The sequence below is a fragment of the Homo sapiens genome, chromosome 8, assembly GCF_000001405.40.
Source record: "Homo sapiens chromosome 8, GRCh38.p14 Primary Assembly".
Taxonomy (NCBI): domain Eukaryota; kingdom Metazoa; phylum Chordata; class Mammalia; order Primates; family Hominidae; genus Homo; species Homo sapiens.
In genome coordinates, this window is record NC_000008.11 from 100528276 (window position 1) to 100546204 (window position 17929).

Consider the following 17929-nt stretch of genomic DNA (forward strand, 5'->3'; position numbering starts at 1 on the left):
AACCAAACACGTCCCCCACCTCCAGACCCCATCCTCACACTGAATGTCTCCTCAACAGCAGATTATGGTAGAAGTAATAGCCGTGTGCCTCTATTTTTTTCTGAATTGTACTATAGAAAGTGTTTATGAAGAACAAATCACCAAGGGGAAAAAAAGGATGGGTCCAGTTTAACTCAAAAGTAAAACCCAGAGCTGAGCCAAACATCCAGTGTAGCTGAATTTTGAATTAACCCTTGTTTTTCTTTTTTTTTTTTTTTTTACTTCCAGGGAAAAGAAAAAAGAGAACATATAGTCAAAAAAGTGGATAAATCTAGTTCTAGATTCATTCTTATTTGATATTTACATTTTATGAGACAAGTACTTTTTTTAAAAAAGTCTAAGAAAAAAATGTCAAATAAGCTGCTTCGGTTCACGCAGCTATTTAGCGCTAATAATAGGTTAGAACCCCAATCACATTAAATCCTGCAGTCAATTCCTACCCCATTTTGTCCTGCAGAAACAAAAGCATTTACTGTCTTATTCAGATTTAGGGGCATTATGGCATCAATAAATTAGGGCAGTGTGTAACTGTAATTTAAAGGTCAAGCTCAGTTTTACAGGTGACTTGACATCGTTCCCACTCAAAAAGCAGAGTATCACTAAAACAAACAAAAAGCCCCATGACTTCCTCAAATTGTTCAGTCTAAAAAGGATCCTGGACTCCCGGGAGATTATGAAGCTCACATGGTGCGTTACATGACAGAAGGCACACAAGCGTTAGAGTCAGCGGAACTAGGTTCAAATTCCAGCTCTGTCCCTTATAAGCTGTGACCTTTTCAAATCCTCTATAAACTGTGTGAACTTTGTCCAATCCTTTTTTGTCTTCACTATCTAATCTGTAAAATGAAAACACCTATTGTGAGAGCTCTTCATTCTGAGGACTAAATGAGCTAACAAGTAAACACAGTCTAGCTCATAGATTTTCAACAAATGTTCTTTTCTTCTTCTTCCCTTGTTGTAACACTACATAATTAGTAGCAGAAACTACCTACTATTTTCATAGAAAAAAATATGCTGCTTTAGCAAAAATCTAGAAGTCAGCCCCTCATTCCCTCACTTGCCTAACAGGATTACACTGTCTTCAATGCTTTCTGAACTTATTTCAACTGATTAATGAGGAAACAAAACCAACAGACCCAAGATAAGATTATCAGTTGAGAGATTAATGGGAAGAAATGACTAGACTTCTAAAACAACAGAGAACTTACCAAATATCAATTTTGAGTCCATTGGAAACCAAAAATTGGATAGTATCCACATGGCCACAGAGGTGAAGAGCTGTGTTTCCTTGATAATCTGTGGCCAGAAGATCGGCACCGAATTTATGCAGTAACTGGCAGATGTCTACATTCCCTCGAGCTGCTGCAAGGTGAAGGCCTGTTCTGCCCCTGCTGTCACGAATATTTGGGTCAAAGCCACTTTCCAAAAGCCGCTTGGAATAATTAAAGTCCCCATCAATACAGGCTTGCAGCAAGGGCACGTTAGTCTGAGAAGAATCATTTACAAAAACATACGACATTGTTCTGATGTGGTGGATGGAACACGCCTGTAATGAAATAGGTGAGTGAGATTCCATGAAGACAAATGAAATCAAGACAAAGGAGTCATTTAGAAAAGCAATATTTCTCATCCTTTTTGGCCTCCTGCCTCTAATAAATAAATGACCAAACAGAAACAACAACAAAGTTATCAATTGTATTTTATTTTCCATTAAAACATTTTATTTTCTTCACATCTGCTGGATTAAAATTCCAATTCAATTACTGTAAAGCTCTATTTTGCTTTTCACCATGTAAAAAGATTAAGAGATATTTTTAAAGTTAAGCAAGACATAATAGCTTAGATTTAAGTATTACATTGTCAGAACACATAGATAACATGGTGTTTAAACATCAAAGAACTACCCATATATAAATGCTACTGCTGGTAGACATTCTTATTTAATACAAACTAATTCTCTTTGATATATTTGCTTCTTCTTGTATTTGAGATATTCTACATGGTAACTAAAACTACTTGCATGAAAAGAACTTATACTCAACAAAGACCTGTAGAGTGTTATGTTTATAGCACAATTTTTTTTTTTTGAGATGGTGTCTCGCTCTATTGCCCAGGCTGGAGTGCAGTGGCGCGGTCTTGGCTCACTGCAACCTCCATCTCCCGAGTTCAAGCGATTCTCCTGCCTCAGCCTCCCAAGTAGCTGGAATTACAGGTGTCTGCCACCATGCTCAGCTAATTTTTTGTATTTTTAGTAGAGACGGGGTTTCACCATGTTGGCCAGGCTGGTCTTGAACTCCTGACCTCATGATCCGCCTGCCTTGGCCTTGCAAAAAGTGCTGGGACTACAGGCGTGAGCCACCGCGCCTGGCCTATAGCACAAATTTTAAGAGAAAGGCTAAGGAATGTAACAAACTGAATTTAAAAATCAGAGCATGAAATCAATTCAGATTATGCTTTTTCCACTATTGATCTTATTCTGCTGTGCTCTGTGGTTATCTCAATATGTGACTGTGCCAAATTCCCACCGTCCAAAGACTGAGAGATGAGGGGAAAAAAAAGTAGGGCTGTCTGGGAATACCAAGTCAGGACAAAGCAGCAATCCCAACTAGGTCTGATGTGAATTTCATCTCTTGGACTCATCCAGCTCACCAGTTTGCCCACATCTCTTTCACAGATGTTTCCTGGCCCCACTGGCGCACCTGAACTCAGGTGAGAGTTCAGCATCTGCCTGGTGCACCTGAACTCTCAGGACATTTTGCTCTACCAAACTGCATACAACTAGGTCTCTCTCTCTTCCCCTAGGTTCATTTAAGAAAGAGTTAAAGCCTGTCAAAAGAAACTTCGCTAGGAAATTGACGAGAAAACAAACAAGAAAACAGAAAGGCAGAGACCAATGCTTTTCTAGAGATGGCTTTTTTATTCTTAGGTTACAAAAGCTTAGTCACATATGGACTTGGCTTATACAGCTGATCAGGTAAAGTCTCTTTCTGAAACACTGATGGAACTGGACGCTAGACCCATCTATTCTTGTGCCTAACCTCAAGGGGATTCAGGGAAGCCTGGCTGCTGAGTTTGGTGAGATTGCTGCCCCTATTCCTTTCAACTTGGCTTCTCAGCAGAGCCATTGTCCCAAAATCTGGGGCTGCCTTACACAAGGGCTCTGCTGCTACCATGGGCTCTCTGTGGAAAGAGTGGGCATTAACATACACTGAGACTTGTTCTGAGCCAGGTACCAACTAGGAGCTTTTAATGAATTTAATTTAATCTTCCTAACAACTCCACAGTTAGGCTTTTTTATACCTGAATTTCAGTGAGGAGCCACTGAAGGATTTTTTTTGTTTTAAATTGAGACAGGTTCTTGCTCTGTCACCCAGGCTGGAGTGCGGTGGTACAATCATGGCTCACTGCAGCCTCAAACTCCTGGGTTCAAGCAATCCTCCCACATCAGCCTCCTAAATAGCTGGGACTACTATTTCAATGAGTCCAGCCCACTGAAGAATTTTAAGTCAAAGAAATGGCACAGTCTTATTAGTCTTTCAGAAAGATGACTTGGATGGCAATATGGAGGCACTGGATTGTAGAGACAAAGACTGGAGGCAGGGAGATCAATCATTAGGTCATTGCAGCTATCTAGGCAAGAAATGAAAACCTGACCTAAGGCAGTGGCAGGCAGAAGGGGACGCACTGGAGAGGAACAGAGAAGACAGAATTAGCACAACTTAATGACTCACTGGATATGAAATGAAGGGTGAAAAGGGGCTGTTAAGAATAATTTCAAATACGAAAAAAAGTTTATGATTAAAAACTACAGAGATTAAAATCAAAATAAACTTCAGATTATGATACATATGATGACTTTTTAAAAATCTGGCTGGACACAGTGGCTCACACCTGTAATCCCAGTACTTTGGAAGGCCAAAATGGGAGGATAGCTTGAAGCCCAGGAGTTCGAAACTAGCCTGGGCAACATAGCGAGAGACCCTGTCTCTATAAAATATTTTAAAATTAGCCAGGCATGGTGGCGCGCGCCTTTCGTCCCACCTGTTCGGGACGCTGAGGTGAGAGGATCACTTGAGCCCGGGAGGTCGAGGTTGCGATGAGCTGTGATTGAGCCACAGCACTCCAGCCTGGGCATCAAAGTGAGGCCTGTCTCAAAAAAACAAACCAAACCAAACCAAACCAAACCAACAAACAGAAAAACTCAATGAGAAGAATTTACTCAATAAAATAGTCAAGAATTCTTTTGCGAGGGTAATCTAAATATTTTCCCTTACAGCAAGGGTGTCCAACATTTCGGCTTCCCTGGGTCACAATGGAAGAAGAATTGTCTTGGGCTACACATAAAATACATAATGATAGCTGATAAGCTTTAAAAAATTGCAAAAAAAATCTCAGAATGTTTTTTAAAAGTTTATGAATTTGTGTTGGGCTACATTCAAAGCTGTTCTGGGCTGCAGGTTGGACAAGCTTGCACAGTATTGAATCATAAAAATGGAAAAGCTATCATAAACCTTTTTCAAAATGAAATGCCACATATCAAGTGCTTTTCAAAAGGTAATGTGTTTTGGTTAAATTTTTAAAAATAGATAATTTAAAAAATCTAGTTGGTGTTTTTGATTCAGACACAGTAAGAATTCTTGTGGTTTGCAGACTAGGATACTTCTGAGTGTTGGCTCAGCAAGAAATACAAGTCTCTGTGTCTATTTTTCAGGTGAGAACAAGTGTGTATTTTGTCAGTTTCTCTGTGTCCCTGAGCAACTACTAAACTTAATCCCACATTTAATAAGCCCAATGATAGTTATTTTTCATCTTGATCACAGAACTGAATCTGTCCTAAAGCAGTTCACTGAAGGTTTCACATCTTGTGAGGAAGTCCACAGTAGTAAATACTCACGTAAGCCTTAAGATTAGATCTTTTCGTTCAGTGGTCACTCAGCAGTTTCTCTGAATTCTCAAGAAGGTTCAACAAAAATATTCTGTAATGTGCTGGCAAGGATCTACAGTAAATAGAAAATTAAGTTATAATAGAAGTGTGGTGAGAAAAAGAACTCACTGTTCTATTAAATACAGACAGGTTACTGAGCCTGAAGAAATTCTCTAGAAAATCTGTAGGTGAGGCATCAACTTGTGAGGCCAGAAAAATATCTGACGAGTAACAAAGTAGTGAAAAGGAAGCAAAGAAGGGCTTAATAGAAGCTGCTCTGTGGCCCACAAACAAGAAAGCAAGACAGAAAGATAAAAGAATAAGAATCAAATTATGTGCCATCACTAAAGAACAAATTGGGCTCCGAAAATTCACTCTCAGTCATTACTTGGAATTCAGAATGCATATTTTTCACATTATAAATGGAGGCTAGATCCCAGATTAGTCCACAAAAGCATTTTTATAAATAAAATACTATTCATAGTGGGAAAAAATAAGTTTAAAAAGCCAATACTTATATTTAAACCAAACAGGATACATTTAAGAAAAAGTATTTCTAATCTACCTTGAATGCTGGTACTTAAATCTCTTTAAATCTGTTCCCTTCCTTGTCTTTTCAGTGTGAAATAAAAGCTGGCCCAAGTCTATCTGTAGTCTTCTTTACATAGCCTGACGCTGCTCCCCCACCCAGGCTGCACTTCTCTGCACTGAGAGAGACTACGAGGGCACCCTGTCTGCCCACTCAGCTCTTCTCTGGAAGGACCGTGGAAGCAGGGTCATGGGCAGGCAGTAAGGACCACAAAAATAGCAATATTAGTTCATGAAACAAACATTCACTGTGTGCCTGCAATGTGCCAGATACCATGCTATCAAGTCCAAATCCCAAATTCCTGGTCAGGGTGAAATACAGGTTAACTTTTTACCGATCATCCTTGTTCATTGTTATCAAATCCCTGTGAACAAATTTATATAGGGAAATAATTAATGGTATTTTACAAAGCTCCATTTACAATATGTAAGTCAGGTTGTATCATAAAGGCTATCAGTGCTAGGCTGGAACTGATGACAATAGCTGACAAACTGTACCTGAGGACCAGTCCCACACGAGGGTCAGTAAATATCACGAAGACATGATAACACACAAAACATCTACGCTCCTCATTTCCTACTTCTTTTGTGATACCACAGTATCAATTTAGACGAACTTCATATCACGGAGCCACTTACCTTGATTTCCTTAAACAAATATTATGTATTCACCCAAAGCCTAATATTTTTCCTCTCTTGTCCTGACCTCTAGAGCTGAGTCTTTAACGACTAGAGCCTGTCTCTAATGTATGATTTGGCTTTAATTTTCAATGTTAATTAAAATGGTGCAAGTGGGTTATTCTGGATGTGGTAGAGCTCACATTAGGGAAAAAGAAAAAATTTTGTTTTTCATCTAGAGATGGAATTATAGTTCATATGGTCATGCCCCCAAATAATCCTAATGTTCTCTTAAATCCACAAGAAGGACAATGCTTCTGCAATTTTTTCTTTTTTTATTTTTGAGACAGAGTCTCACTCTGTCGCTGGTGCCGGAGTGCAGTGGTGCAATCTCGACTCACCTGCAGAGGCCTCCGCGTTCAAGCAATTATCCTGCCTCAGCCTCCCCAGTAGCTGGGACTACAGCCATGTGCCACCATGCCTGGGTAATTTTTGTATTTTTAGTGGAGATGAGGTTTCACCATGTTGGCTAGGCAGGTCTTGAACTCCTGACCTCAGGTGATCCACCCACCTTGGCCTCCCAAAGTGCTGGGATTACAGGCGTGAGCCACCGCAACCAGCCTGCCATTTTCTTTGGATATTACAATGGCCCATAAGAAAATACACTTGAACAAATTACAGATTTGTATGATTTCATAATAATATTATACAAATTCATTAGACTAAATTACTAGAAACCTGCCAAGAAAACTTCCAAGACCTCAGTTAGACCTTACTCACTAGACTCTGTTAATAGCTTCCCTAAGAAGTCATAAAGTGAATACAAATCAGAGCACATATTTAACGATTGTCCAATGGGTGAAGAGGACTAAAGACTTTTTTAAATTAAACTTTTTGAGATAATTATAAATTCATATGCAGTTGTAAGAAATAACACAGAGTGATCCTGTGCACCCTTTATCCAGTTTCCCCCAATGGTAACATCTTGCCAAACTATAGTACAACATCACAACCAGGATACTGACATTGATATAGTCAAGATACAGAACATTTCCATCACCATGAAAAATCTCTCATATGTTGCCCTTTTTAGCTATTCCTGCTTCCCTCCCATGCCAGTCTCTCCTTAACACCTAGAAAACACTACCTAGTCTTCCACTTCTTTAATTCTGTCATTTCAAGAATGTTGTATAAATGGAGCCATACAGCACATACAGGAACCTTTTGGGATTGGTCTTTTCACTCAGTATAATTCTCTGGAGATTCATCCAGGGTAGCTGTGTGTATCCATAGTTTGTCCCTTTTTTATCCATAGTAGTATTCCGTGGCATGGGTGTACCACAATATAACAGTTCATCTACTGAAGGACATCTGGTGTCTCCAGTTTTTGGCCATTGTTAAAGCTTCTACAAACATTTGTTTGTATGTGACTGTAAATCTTCATTTCTCTAGGATAAATGGTCAGGAGAGCAACTAGTGAGTCGTATGAAGACCTGAAGATTGTGACTAAAAGACTGTTGAGCATGAAGATGTCTATTTCCCCCATTCAAGAAGAATGTAAGGTCATCTTTGGAGTCATGTGTCTCGGTGTCAGGTTATTTATGGAAGAACCTGTAGGACCAAGCATTTGCAAGGGCACAGGTGGATGTACTGGCATTTACCAAAGGGAGTGTTTAATAAGAACCATTCTTCAAACAGAATTACAGGCACTAATAAAAGTGTGAATAATGAACCAGTAATCTTTCAAGATTCACTGAGGACTGAGTCTGTGCCCCTGTGAATGGATGTGAAACCTAAGTAAACATAATGAAGCCTGCTTGGAGAGGTGGGAAAAGTAGCGGGGAGAGATATGTGATAGTCTGACTCTCCTGAAAGGCACTACTCTTAGGAGTGTACCATAGAGAGACAATTTTCTTGTCAGATGCTGTTAAAAAAACTTGATTACTCCACCCAGAATGTATATGGAGCTGGACTGCCTGGGTTTGAACCCCAGCTCAGCTACTTACTAGCTGTATGACTTAGCACTCAAAAATAAGCTATTATCCTTTTCAGGCTAGACACAGCTCTGGGGAGACAGTCCTCAGCCATACGGAAGAAAGCTTGCATACAGCACTGATCCCCTGGTAACAGAGCAGCTTCTGATAATGGGGTGACATCTAGTTGGCAGTAAAGACCTCCAGGAAAGAAAAATAAAAGAACTGGTTCCTGGCAGAGGAAAAACCACATAGTCTAGTGCAAGAACAGTCAATATGGGAATAACCACGCCCCAGAAAGCATGCTGGTTGCTGACCAGGGCCCTGGTTCCCAAGGAACAGTGTCCATGAGGAACAGTGTCCACTGACTGGTTCAGAGGCAGACTAGCTGGCATTGTTAAAAGCAGAACTTTGGGGGTCAGGTTTTTGAGGGCTGGTGTAGCCTGACACTTAAAACTCCTCACTCTGTGCTCTGTGGCACTGCCTGAGAGACTTGAAGATGGAGTCATTTATCCTTTCACATGACGCAGTCACTTAGATCGCGGCAACAAGAGCTTCTTATGTCAACCAGCGTGATTGTCTCAACCCAAACAACAATAAAAAGGTTTTGATGGAAGCTTGTGATTCACTGACTTGATGAAAAGTCATGCCTAATTTTCTTTTATATCTCAAATTTTGGATCCACAATCTTAGGTCAATCTGTAAAACTTTAAGATATAATAGTATTCTTAATGGTTAAGGACTAATGGAGAGAATATATATACTTATAACTAAAAATTGTTCTATATCCAATATCAACAAGAATACATAATAGATGGATTTTTCATTTTGAAAGGCCATTTGGAAAGGGAAGACTAAGTACCACATTCTTGCTTCAAATGGACTGACTACATTATGCCTACACAAGCAATTTTGGTCAGAGATCAAAGCACCAGACATTTCAACAAAATGCAAGGAAAAAACGACATAGCTGGAAAGATATTCTGTCAGATCTTATTGCCTTTGCCATTTTCTAATGTCAAAGAAAAGTACTAAAACTGTAAAAATGAATGATACACAGTAAATGAAACCCCCAAATCTAGATTCTATCACTTGCTTATTCTTATCCTTTTAAGAGGATACAGCTGTTTCAAAATATAATCTCAGAGAACTATAAAACAAAAATTTCCAATGAAGTCATTAAATCCTAACTGCTAGTACTTTAAAATTACTGTTCTTAAAACCTGAGCTCTGCAAAAATCCAAAGATACTGGGCAAGGAAAAATGCCATGTTGAAAAGAAATTTAGCTGTGAGCAAGTAAGAATTTTAACAATTTAAAATCCTTCCCAAAACATTAACAATATATTTCTTCAGTCTGCTTATCTTCAGCAGCTATTTAAACAGCAACTCTTTCTCTAATAGAGTGATCTTAATTCCCAAGGCCCACAGACATTGAGTCTAGGGCCATACTGCTTTAAGTGGCAGGGTGGGGCTTCATATTTAGCTTATATATTTCCAATATGCCCTGCAGCTGCTGTAAGTTGTCAAGATAACCAGGAGAAAACAGTTCATGTAAAACTTTGTTGCTTGTTCACAACTGTCCTAAAATTCCTGCCAGAATATGTTTCTAGAAGCCAAGAAATGGGTCTGATTTGTCTATATATACTGGCTGACTGCAATGCCTGGCACATTAAGTTTCTTGAAGTCTAGACATAGGGAAATCCAATAATTCTTTCCTGAATGTACACTCGATTAAGTTCATTGTCACAAGATTTTAAAGTAATATTTTTTCTTATGACTAGTTCTGCAGTGCATTGTAAAAATTTTTAGGAAATAAATATGAAAAAAAAGAAACTAAAAGCTGCACACAATCAACCATGAATCAAATTAATGATTCAACCAACCATGAATCAAAAATATTTGGGGAAAAAAATTGCATCTATACTGAACACGTATGTACAGACTTTCTTTCTTGTCATTATTCCCTAAACAACACAGTGTAACAACTACTTCCATAGCATTTACATTGTATTAGGTATTATAAGTAACCTAGAGATTATTTAAAGTATATGGAAAGATGTGCATAGGTTATATGCAAATACCATATCATTCTGTACCAGGGACTTGAGCATCTGTGAATTCTGGTATCTGCATGAGGTCCTGAAACCATCCCTCTTCAAACAGGGGTTTGAAGAGGATACTAAGGGAAGAGAAACCCATCCCTCTTCAAACAGAATTACAGGCACTAATAAAAAGTGTGAATAATGAACCAGTAATCTTTCAAGATTCACTGAGGACTGAGTCTGTGCCCCTGTGAATGGATGTGAAACCTAGGTAAACATAATGAAGCCTGCTTGGAGAGGTGGGAAAAGTAGCGGGGAGAGATATGTGATAGTCTGACTCCCCTGAAAGGCACACTGCTCTTAGGAGAGTACCACAGAGAGACAATTTTCTTGTCAGATGCTGTTAAAAGAAACTGGATACTAAGGGATGACTGTATTCTATGTATGTACCATAATTTTACTGAATTCCTTAGCACATTAAAAAAGAATTTGTCCTGTATTTTTCCTATCACATAGATTCAATGATGTTTTTGGCTAACCAAAATGTAAAAAGAATTTTGTGATGCAGATGAAAGCTGTCTAATGTATGGCTGTGGAACCAGTCTCTGACCGGTGAATAGTTTTACTGTGACGTCAATCTTGATGCAATGCTTTCTTTGCTCACTGCAAAACTTCTAAGATTCTGGTTTATGGTTCATCCTAAACTAGGATGGACTTAAGTTCCTTATTTCTCTATTTTTTGGAAAATTGTATTAGAAGGGCCTAGGAAGTAATTTCTCACTGATCATATGGCTAGGGCCCAATTTTTAACCTTTTAGTGATCTGTCCTAAATAAAGATAAAATATGTGAATATTTATTTGGATTCTTTAAAAAAGGAAAAGAGTTGCTCTCTTTCTGTGGGAAGTAAATAAAAGGAGGAACTAAGAACACTATCCTTTTAGGATATCCCAGTACTATGAAGAACATTGGAAAGAAGGAGTTTATAAGCAGAATCTTCTGAATTTTATTTCCAAGGCTCAATAATAACAGAAGTTCAAATTTTTAGCAAATTTTTGGAGCAATTTTTAGGCAGATGTAGCTCTACCACAGACATACATTTTTATTTTATATCCAACTTTGTAGAAAACACACATTTTGTGGTATTTCCAACATTTCAGTCTAATGTGGCTGTGTCTAAAATTCTTAACTTTTTGATGTCTTCAATACAAAGCTATTAGTAACTTCATAATTAAAACTATTAATGCATAAAAATGAGGTTAATTTGAAGTATGTGAATTACACAATAATACTTAAAGACAGGCCACTAGCCAGGTGCAGTGGCTCATACCTATAATCCCAGCACTTTGGGAGGCCAAGGTGGGAGGATTGCTTGAGCCCCGGAGTTCGAGACTAGCCTGGGCAACAATGCAAGACCCTGTCTGTACAAAAAACAAAAAAGGCCAGTTCACTGAGTTAAGTTCATATAATAATTAAAACTCTGTTAATCAGATATTACTTAGTAGATGTTCTTCTGGAATTAAGCTTAATGAAAAGAGAAAAAAGAATTTCCTGTTTGTTATGTCTGGTATTACTATGCAAATAATTGCTTGGCAACATTTGAGATACACAGTATTCTACATTTATTAAGTTATACTGCAGGCACAGTTCTAAGTGTTTTTCCTATAATAACTCATTTAATCCTCATAGAAACCCTACAAGGTACATGCATACTATCACTATACTCATTTCATGAGTAAAAAAAAAAAAGTCACTAAGTTTGTTTCATAAGATTTTTTGTTTAATGAATTAGCTTAGCAAATGTCTTCATCAAACATAAGGGAGAACATTAGTCTAGCATACACATTCCATATAACTCTTTACAATCATTTCATTCAAAGTGAACGTCTTCTTAAACTGTAGAAACAATACCTGGAAATGTCTTTTACTTCACAGAAAATATTCTAGCACACATAAGCCAAATTAACTGTTTTTAATCATCTCATAAAAATAAGTTTTTAAAGTATGGGAAAATAACAATAAAATATTTTTGGAAAAGTCTTCTACTTCACAGGTGACTAAATTCTTAGACTCATCATTCTCAAGTACTTCCTACTGATTGGGATAACAAGAAAACACCTAAATTTTTCTTTCTCCATCAGGAAATCAAAAAACACCAACAACGATTTCTGATATATTTCTGGCAATATTTATATTGCTTAACTATTATTTGTTTGCATTATTAAAGTTTAGTTACAATTCAACTTTTAGAAAAGGTATTGGCTTAAGACAAATCAAAATTAATTGTTCACAAAAGGAATGCTGGTTATTTTGGATATTCTATTTCACATTCTAATATCTTAGTATTTTCCAAAATCTTTACTATGTAATTTTACCATGTTTAAAATTCTTAGCAAGGGACTTCCTCCTCAGGAGGTTTCCAGTTTATAGTCTATCATTACATAATAAAGTTACTTGATTCTTTAAAACTGTTTTTTTCTAGTTGCAACAGCACTTTATTTATATGGCCTAAGGGTGCCACCTTGTGGCCTGCATAGGCTTCAAGTTCAACTTCAGCATCTAGTATGGCATAAGGTGAGAAGTCTGTACCTCCGAAGTTTCTCTGTTCCATTTCAAGTTATTTACCATAATTCTCACTAACTGTGAATTTGTGAAAATCCAAAATTGGGATGAAGTTCAATTTTCCTTTTAAAAAAACTTTTCAAGAAAATTAATAGCAAAAATATGATTCCAGGCCTATTCAGAAATCTAAACCTCATTAAACCCACCTTAGCAGACTTTATATAAAGTGCTACTTAAATGGCATTCTAACTTATTCATTTATTGTGTTGTTTCAAAATATAAGAATTGTGAGTTTTGCAAAATATTCCTTATTTTCTAAATAGTCTACAAAATTTAAACCAGACTTCACCCTAAGTAAGTTTGAAGGTATGAGATTGTATCCTTAGAAGAAGCTTAACTGTAGTAGTCACGTGTCGCTTAATGATGGGGTATGTTCTGAGAACTGCATCGTCTGGTGCTTTCACTGTTATGTGAACAACACAGAGTGTCCTCAGGTGCCTACACAAGCCTAGAGGATATAGCCTACTACATGCCCATGCTATACATGACTATTTCCATAAAATTCTTAGAGCTGGAAGGCCATCCAACATCATTTAACTCAATCTCATTATTTTACAAATAAGGACACTGAGACCAGAAAGGCTGTAACTTTGTTACTTTACATGCTACCGCTCATCCCCACACGTTCTAGTCCTATTCATGATTCACTGTCGAAATACAAAATGCAGTCATACACTGCATAATGACATTTTGGTCAACGACGGACTGCATATATGAAGGTGGTCCCATAAGATTAGAATATTCTTACTATAACTTTTCTATGTTTAGATACACAAATATTTGCCACAGTATTAAAACTGCCTACAGTATTCAGCACAGTAACATGCTGTATAGGGTTGTAGCCTAGGAACAACAGGCCATACCATATGGCCTGGGTGTGCAGTAGGCTCTTGTATCTAGGTTTGGGTAGTAAGTACACTTTGTACACAAACAATGAAATAATCTAATGGTGCATTTCTCAGAAGGATGTACTGCATCCTTCACACAAAACATACATAATGACAGTGGGTGGACAAGGGCCCTCCTCCCTACACTATAAAACCCTGGAGGATCTAGTGGACTTCTTTAAGGTGGGGTCTGCTGTGTGTGAAGCTATGCAAATCACTCTAGTCTACATTTACCATTTGTACATTTATGGCCTAGGTAAAACCTTAAAATTCAGAATTCTTTACGTATCCTTATTACACTCACATCCTACCTCACTCACTCTGACCTCCAGGGGCCCTCATAAATAAGGATATACAACATAAGACAACTGGACAGCAGACTAAGGAGATGCCTTAGTCAAACTGTATTTTTAAAATGGCATGTTTGTAGAACAGACATGAAACGACTGAGAAACGGCAGAATGACTCATATGTGGGGTATTAGATGTATTTCTTCTCTCGCCACTGGAAATGTTGATTTAATGCTGAGACCCTTGGTAGAAAGGGAATAAATAGTCTTATATCTAAGGGAGTTGAGGAGTGTCTGTGGCTTTAAAGGGAATCTGTGGCTCTTTTCCTGCTGTCCCTGCTCTGGACTAGGGGTAACCTATTTTGGGAAGGAGTCTTTTTTGAGAGTAGGAAGTACATGCTTAGAAATGGCTCCAGGTTCACAAAAGAAAAACAGATTCCCTGCCCCCAGGTTTTCTAGCCTAGTTCATGAGGATAGAAATAAATAAAGGATTATAGGCAGAAGTTGTAACTTTTGGCTAGTGCTTTCCTCATGCTGCCAATTAGGAAGGGGTGGGGCAAGAAGTGGAAGACACCGATATTCTAAAGCAGAGCTCAATCACCAGTCCTGATAACTCCTTCAGCAGAGTAATTTCAAGCATAAGACAGCGAATTACAGCAATTCTCTTTCTGACTGAGCCCTGGCCTCTACACACAGCCTCTCCTATTAAAATGGTAATCTGTGAGTTAGCTCAGTTTACATGTGTGTACTCAGAGCATTCTGGAGAATCTTTCAGAAACGGGAAAAGAAGATGACAAGTTCCTATATCAGTTTCCCATGGAGCTATTTTTGCAAACTGCCCAGAGACCAGACACCTGCCCATTGTGACTAACATGGGAAAGAATTGTCAAAGACTATGGATCTTAAGTTTTAATAGCTACATAGCTCTTCCAGATTTGCTGCTTTCCAGGAAATGTCTTTAATAAACAGGCTTTGTTTGTTTAGACACTGTCAATTAAAACTGATTCCCAGTGTTAGCAACTGTTGATACAAACCTTATTTTCGTTTTAATTCTTATTCTCAATCTCAAAACCATTTAATATTTTGCGATTTGTTCTATAACAAATACTAAGGAAACTGGGAATAAAATGGTAAATTTCTTTATATCAAAAAACAATTTTCTAAATGACTTGTAGATAGGAGCAGGACACAATATAAAACTGTTAAGAACTTGTTTTTAAAAGTTTGAACAACTGCTAAACTTTCGTCCTTGTACTCAAGAGAACTACAGTGTTAAACAAAGATAATTATGATTTAAAAATTATTCTTTAAAATGCTGTCAGAAGATAATGGCTTCACAGTCTTCAAACAATAGGAGAGTAAGTTTCTTGTTTTTAAATAAATAAATTACACTCTCAGGATTGACGAGCTTTGGATTTGGGGAAATGAACTATAATATGAAATGTTATATCTTAAACTGTAGAGAAGTATAAGAAAAGACACACAAAAACAAATTAAAGGCAAACTTTCAGGTTTATGGTAGCTATTAAATTTACCACTAATATATCTGCATGTCTTCTTCAGTGATACTATCAAAATAAATCTATTCCAAATACATCTAAATATTTTTATTCAAATAGTGTCCTTTCATACCATGTCTCTCTGGCCCAAATTTTTCTTTTTAATTATATTTTATTGGATGGTTTCAGGAGTGTAATTGAAATCATTTAAAGATTAACCCAAGAGTTCTTAATGTCAAAGACCTTTATGTCCACATCACTTCCATCACTTAGTTGGACTTTGCACACTTAGAACTTAACTCCACTGCCCAGATCTTGACCTACAACTACCTTTTATATTGCCTTACACTTTAGGAAATATTTCTCATTTATTCTCTCAATCTCTCCCTCACCCTCCTTTTGGCTACCCCAAGCAGCAAGAAATCTGCCCATACAACCATCCCTAACTCTCTTCAGTCAGCTTCTGGTTCCTTCTAAGGCTCAAAGCAGATCACTTCCACTTCCACCAGGAAAGAAAATACCTTACTCATCCATGGGACCCGGACATAAAGAAGCAAGGACAAAGAACATAAGCCTAAAGTTGGGGAGGGGCCTAGCAATTGGAGAAAAGACTATAATCAACATCTAGAAAGAAGTGAGCATTGGATCAAATCTCAGTGTCAGGATTCTGCTAACCCCAAAGTACAACTTGCTCGTACTCTAGACAAGGCTGAAGCAAGGAAAAACAATCAAGTGATCTTAAGTGATAAATAGCGAAGGCAGACTTCCAGACTTGAATCAAGAGATCCATGATCTGTGAATTTATCAAGAATTATTTTTCAGGATAAGCACTAAGTACTAGACACCAATCAAAACGTTTGTATCTTAGGTCCTAACTCGGCCATTTTCTAAGGCACTATCTTGAGTAGTCCAACTCTAAGAGTCCCAGTTTCCTCATTTGCAAAACTGAGATAATATCTGTCTTACCTACTTCACAATATTTTTGTACAGAACTTTGAAAACTATAATGAAATATACAAATATAAGATGCTATATATTTTTTCTTAGTTTCTTATTCCACATCTTGGTAACAAGTAAAAGGATTTCTGCCTTGAATGGGGTCAGAGGCAACAATGGGAGCAACTCATAGAGTCTGGTGCTCTTCACAGAGTGAACAAGCAGAGAAGCCCAAGGAGATAATAACAGTATTGTACACTGGCACATGAGTATGTACATAGGGCAGATCAACAGTCCCAAATGGATATTTTGCCATGGCCTTAATATCATATCTAAAACCAGCACTCCAGAGGCTGGGTGTGCTGACTCATGCCTGAAATCCCAGCACTTTTGGAGGCAGAGGTGGGAGAATTGCTTGAGCCCAGGCATTCGAGACAAGCCTGGGCAACACAGTGAGACCTTGTCTCTAAAATATACATATATAAAAGTTAGGTGTGGTGACGTGCACCTGTAGTCCCAGCTACTCGGGAGGCTGAGGTGGGAGGATAGTGATTTAATTTGGCTTTGTGTCCTCACTCAAATCTCATTTTAAATTGTAGTCCCCACATATCAAGGAAGGGACCTGGTGGGAGGTGAATGGAGCATGGGGGTGGTTACCCCCATGCTGTTCTCATGATAGTGAGGGAGGGCTCATAAATAAGATCAGACGGTTTTAAAATTGGTCGTTTCCCCTACACATTCTCTCTTGCCGCCATGTAAGATGTTCCTTGCTTCCCCATAACCTTCCACCATGATTCTAAGTTCCTTGAAGCCTCCCCAGCCATGTGGAACTGTGTATCAATTAAACCTTTTGTTTATAAATTACCCAGCCTCAAGTAGTAACTTTATAGCAGTGTGAAAACAGACTAATACAGAGAATTAGTACCAGGAGTAGGGCACTGCTATAAAAATAACCTGAAAAAATGGAAGTGACTTTGGAACTGGGTAACAGGCAAAGGTTGGAACAGTTTGGGGGGCTCAGAAGATATGGGAAAGTCTGGAACTTCCTAGAGCCTTGCTGAATGGTTTTGACCAAAATGCTGATAGTGATATGGACAATGAAATCAAGGCTGAGGTGGTCTCAGAAAGAGATGAGGGACTTTTTGGGAACTGGAGTAAAGGTCACTCATGCTATGCTTTAGCAAAAAGACTGGTGGCATTTTGCCCCTGACCTAGAGATCTGCGGAACTTTGAACTTGAGAGAGATGATTTAGGGTATCTGGCAGAAGAAATTTCTAAGCAGCAAAGCATTAAAGATGTGGCCTTGATTTTTCTCAAAGTGAACAAATGTGTTCACGAAGAGATAATCTGCAATTGGAACTTCTGTTTAAAAGCGAAGCAGAGCATAAAAGTTTGGAAATTTGCAGCCTGACTGGTAGAAAAGAAAACCCCATTTTCTGGGGAGAAACTCAAGCATGCTACAGAAATTTGCCTAAATAACAAGGAACAGAATGTTAATAGCCAAGAAAATGGG

At 38.0% G+C, this 17929-nt stretch overlaps 1 protein-coding gene across 4 annotated transcripts in view, besides 3 other annotated features; it reads right to left on the reverse strand.

Moving 5' to 3' along the window:
* ANKRD46 (ankyrin repeat domain 46) overlaps positions 1-17929 on the reverse strand; it is a 50008-nt gene that overhangs the window by 18524 nt on the left and 13555 nt on the right. For 3 of the 4 annotated variants that reach the window (NM_001270379.2, NM_001270377.2, NM_001270378.2), the window contains exons 2-3: positions 4934-5036; positions 1248-1585 (exon numbers count right to left, since the gene is read on the reverse strand). In NM_001270379.2, coding sequence (NP_001257308.1) covers positions 1248-1558 — 311 coding nt within the window. In that variant the 5' untranslated portion in view covers positions 1559-1585; positions 4934-5036. Of the gene's footprint in view, positions 1-1247; positions 1586-4080; positions 4186-4933; positions 5037-17929 lie in introns of all 4 variants that reach the window. The other variant, NM_198401.4, reaches the window with a different exon arrangement.
* Positions 13627-13676: an enhancer, noted in NCBI's record as "active region_27712". NCBI's record gives its function as "activates an Ori minimal core promoter by ATAC-STARR-seq in GM12878 lymphoblastoid cells {active_cell/tissue: GM12878}" and the evidence as "EXISTENCE:reporter gene assay evidence [ECO:0000049][PMID:35858748]".
* Positions 14457-14526: an enhancer, noted in NCBI's record as "active region_27713". NCBI's record gives its function as "activates an Ori minimal core promoter by ATAC-STARR-seq in GM12878 lymphoblastoid cells {active_cell/tissue: GM12878}" and the evidence as "EXISTENCE:reporter gene assay evidence [ECO:0000049][PMID:35858748]".
* Positions 16253-16453: a silencer, noted in NCBI's record as "peak7124 fragment used in MPRA reporter construct". NCBI's record gives its function as "represses an SCP1 promoter by STARR-seq MPRAs in K562 erythroleukemia cells {active_cell/tissue: K562}" and the evidence as "EXISTENCE:reporter gene assay evidence [ECO:0000049][PMID:32103011]".